This window comes from Homo sapiens, chromosome 14 (assembly GCF_000001405.40).
Source record: "Homo sapiens chromosome 14, GRCh38.p14 Primary Assembly".
In the NCBI taxonomy this organism is placed as follows: Eukaryota; Metazoa; Chordata; class Mammalia; order Primates; family Hominidae; genus Homo; species Homo sapiens.
Window position 1 is genome coordinate 23648010 of NC_000014.9, and position 4515 is coordinate 23652524.

Genomic DNA, 4515 nt, shown 5'->3' on the forward strand with positions numbered 1-4515 from the left:
CAGAAAGCAGAGCCAGATGTCAAGGCTTCTGTGGCTTCTAGAGGAAGACAGGAAGAGCCAGAATTCAAATGTGGTCTTCATTCTGTAGCCCTCCATGAGTCTTGCTGTGAGTGGCATCGTCACTGCTTGGAGTAAGTCCCCTGGTGGAGTCCTTGCCCCAAACCTGCCCTGACTGGGAAGTAAGATTGAGAGCCTCAGTTTCTGAGAAATGGCGGTCCCCCAAAATCCTTCCTGACTTCAAGGTGTGTGATTCTCATCTAATATTATTTGGTTGACAGCCCTCCCTCATTGAGCAAATGAGTGTGAATCCCTCCTATGGCAGTGTGCGGTGGGCATCCCAGGTTCCCAAGGGAGATTTGAACCAGCTACTGGGCTAGGTGCAACTTAGAAAGAATCAGGGCAGAACAGAAGAGTGTCTGAGTTACCCAGAGCCCCATACAGTTTCCAGTGGGTGAATTTATAGTGGAATCTGGCAACATAGACACATGGTTTTTCTAGTCAAACTCAGCAACTCCGGATTGAGGATGGAGGAAAATGGATAACCAGGTCTTCCTGGGTTTGGGACATGTCCAGGCCACAGTTCGGTGCCAGGATGTCACCTGACGTGGCCCAGTGGAGGGATCCCAGTACGGGGGATGGTGGGGATCCAAATTCTTCAGTGACCCAAAAGCATAAGGTCTCAGCACTGAGGCTTCAGTCAGTGTGGGGAAGGTTCTACGACCTGGATGAGCTGGGGAGACAGAGCAAGGTGTAGTAGGAGATGCAGCAGGCAATGGGAGGCCAAATTCTCCAGGTGAGAAGCCCAGGCCCAGAGAGGTGACTCACTCAAAGGTTCTGCAGCTCTGGAACAGCCAAGGCAGTGAATACGGCCCTGCCACTCTAGCTTCAGCACCATGACCTTCTCCTCCACTTTCAGGGGCTGAGTGCAGTGAAAGTAACCAGGTAAGATGGGACAATGTAGGCTTGCAGGAGAGACACTGAGAGTGGAGAGATTGGCTGCAGAGAGGCTGGTGGAACCGCAGTTCGAAAGCAGGGCAGGGGATTGATCCCTGTCCTCCCTGCAATGAGAGTAGGGAAAGCTTTGACTTCCTAGGTAAGAGCAGAGAGATGTCACCAAGACAGAAAGCCCCATTTCTGTACACAGTGGGGAGAACAGGACTTTGCACACAGCCAAGCAATGCTCAAAGGGGGGATTTGGAGTCCTGGTGACATGTGTTTTTGTGTGTGTGCAAGTGTGTGTGTGTCATGTGTGTGTGTGGTACAGTAGGGCTGACCTTAGCAAGGGGAAGGCGTTGGAGAAAGTGCAGATGAGGATGTGGGAGGTGTGGAGGGGGATTTGCACTTGATTTATGGCTCTTGCCTCTTCCTTTGTTGAAATACTCATCCTGGGTCCAAGCTGAGCCAAGCCTTGCGGAGTGAGGAGTGGGGGACAGACAGAAGGGAAGGCCTTTGTGCTCTGACTCAGCTCCTCCACCCTGCCATGCTCCTTGGGCTGTCCAGTGCCTCACAGCCCCCTAAGTGGACAGAGTGCAGTGTCTCGTGGCCTAACTGGGTAGGGTGAGGACAAGGGCTGGGACTGGTTGAGTCTCCCATCTCCTTCTCCCATAGTCTTTCTCAGGCCAAGTTTCCAGCACAGGGGCTATGGGTTGTGCATAACCATGCACATGTGCTTCCTTGGGATAAATCACCTCAGTATTTATTTGGTTTCCAGTAGCCTTGGGCGGTACTGAGACTATTACCTGGGCTAATCAATGAGAAACAACAAACAAAACAACAGCCATAGGGTTTCTGCCGGCTTGGAAGTGTCTGGGAGCTGGGCAGGAGGAAGAAATGGAACCCTGGAAGTGATGGGGCAGTGAGTGGGACTGATGAGTTTACAGCTCTTCAGGTGTGGGCAGAGCGCCTTAGGATGGGTCAGACTCTGGGGGCTGGAGTCAGAATAGCAGACTCTCCACTATGGGAGCACTTTGTTGCCTACTTGTACATTTCAGGTTAATTCCCTTATCTCTGATCTCTTAAGAGAAAAGAGAAAAAGTCCCAGGGCTATGGGGGAATTCTAGAGTGTGCAGGATGGCCACAGATAAGCATTCTGGTAAACTGGGGTGATGGCATTCCAGCCTGAGGGTTCTCTGTCTGGTGACTCCCCAGGCAACCCATGCTTGTTTGGATATTATCCCCACCCCTTGGAATAAAAAGTGGTACAAGCTGCAACCCCTGTTTTTGCTTTTTCCAGACCACTGTGTGGTTGGGGGAGATCCTCTTGTCCACTGCAATGTAGCACTCACCTCGGCACTGCGTATCTCCAGCTGTCCCTGCCCATGTTCCGCTTGTGAGGCTGGGCTCGCCCAGCAGGAGGGAGGTCAGGGCAGTGCCAGAGTGAGGAACCCAGTGCTAAATTGTATCAGAAGGTGTGGTCCCAGGGTGGCTTGAGACAGTGTGGCTGTAGCTGAAGAGTAGAACGTGAGGTTTTACGGAGGCTTGGTTCTGTGTGGTCAGGTGAGAACAGAAATGGGTGCATGCCTGAGGCAGTGTGTATTCACTGTTGACTCCAGCAGCAAACATCCTGGATTAGATTTTACCAAGAAGATGAGTTGTCCGTCCAAAGCAAATGGTCCCTTTGGTCAATTATATAGTGGGGGTAAGCACTGGCTGACTGACAAAGTGAAAGAGTGACAGGAGTAGGATGGAAATGGAGGAAAGGAGTGATCACAGGTCAAGGTTCAGAATGAAGGCCACAAGCCACAGTATGCCTCATGCTTCCTCGTGTGTAGGGCTGGGAGAGTGTGTTGAGGCAGGTGGAGGAACCTGAAGGAGCGGTGCAGGCCATGACTATTTTGTGTGCCCTGGATGGCTGGACTCAAGTTTAGAGTTTCTGTCCCTTTAGCCCTTGAAGGCTAAAAGATGCTGTCCCCTATGCAGGCAGCATTCTTATGAATCCTAGTGAGTAAAATGACTCCCCTTGCTGATCATTTTATCTGTGACTTTTGATGTTTTCTAATTGCTACCCACTCCAGAGAAGTTAATTTGTGGATATACATACACAGCTTGCAAGAGGCAAAGCTGTGATTTGAATCTGAGTCTTTTTCTTAACCATCCTTCATGACAAAATGATGGCCAAGGCTCTATGAGCCCAGTTCTCTCCTCTGGCTATTCCGTCCTGTTCTGTGTCTCTTGAAAGCAGAGCCTGAGGCTTTCAATATTTGGACAAGATATGAGAGGGAGCGTGAGTGAGGGAGGGAGTGGTGAGAGAGTTAGGGAGGCAGGAAAGCCACTACAGGGGTACATCATGGAGGGAGCCCCCACATGCCCATCCCCCTAGGACCTCTTATAAGAGTGTGGGATGCCTCTGGAAGAGTGGGATGGCAGATGGAGCATTCATCCATGGGTTCTTAGCTGCCACCTATCAAGGGTTGCCTCGGAGTTATCAGCTCCTTCACAATTCCCCCAACAGAGAGGAAGATGCATCCACAGTGCAATGAGTTGAGACCCACAGGAAATGGCCCACCCCAGCCATGTCTGAAATCAGGATGAGGGCAAGAGTCAGGGCACTCAATACATCTGCTACAAGGTCTCTGGGAAGTAACAGTCCATGGGCTCAAATATGTTTAAAAACAAAACACTTGATCCATTGCTCCTGTGAGACTCCAGGGAGAAACAAAATATTTCCTATGCACAAAATGACAGTTAGTCCACTTCCCCCAAGGGGTAGAGTTTAGAAATTTTCACTGGAGGCTTTCAAGCTGCCCAATCTCAAATCTGTCGTTAATGGTTTGAGCAGTCCCCGTGGCTGTCTCTTGGAGTTACCAAAAGAAGCCAGAGAATTAAAAGGAAGGGAAGACAGGAAAGGAGGATCAGAGAGAAAACCCTTAATTAACTAGACACATGAAAAGAGCTTGGGGGTCTTTCAAAACCAAATGTTCTATTTGTTGCAAAATAGAATTATTTAAATGCAACAATTAATACTATAAAGTTTACATGCTGATCTTAAAACTCCCTTTACTTTTCCCTAAGTAAATAACAGGACAGTTTTACAATGTGAGGACTTGGGAAGTGGAGTAATACAGGGCCTTCTCTTGTCCCATTTCAGGTAACTTGGTTTCTGGAGACCATTGGCAAAGGATGCTCATGGTAATGGTGGGTCCCTGGTGGCCTGAAGCACCCCAAATGTGGGTTTGATGTTTGGAAACCTCAGCAATAACCCTGGCCAGAGCAACAGGCAGTTTGGGTCTCGAATGTCCTGGGTCAGATTTTACCAGAAAAATGAACTGTTTTTCCATCTAAAGCAAGTGGTTCCCTGGGCCAACTGAACAGCTTACTGAGAGCACAGTCAGCCCATATCTGGAGGGGTTCTTTTAACAGGCAAGAGGAGGAAGTATGGGATGCCAAGGAAAAGAAACCATCACTTTCTATCTTAGCCTGTTCATGTTGCTATCACAAAATACTGCAGACTGGGTAATTTTTTTTTTTCCCCACTCTTGTTGCCCAGGCTGGAGTGCAATGGCGCGATCTCAGCTC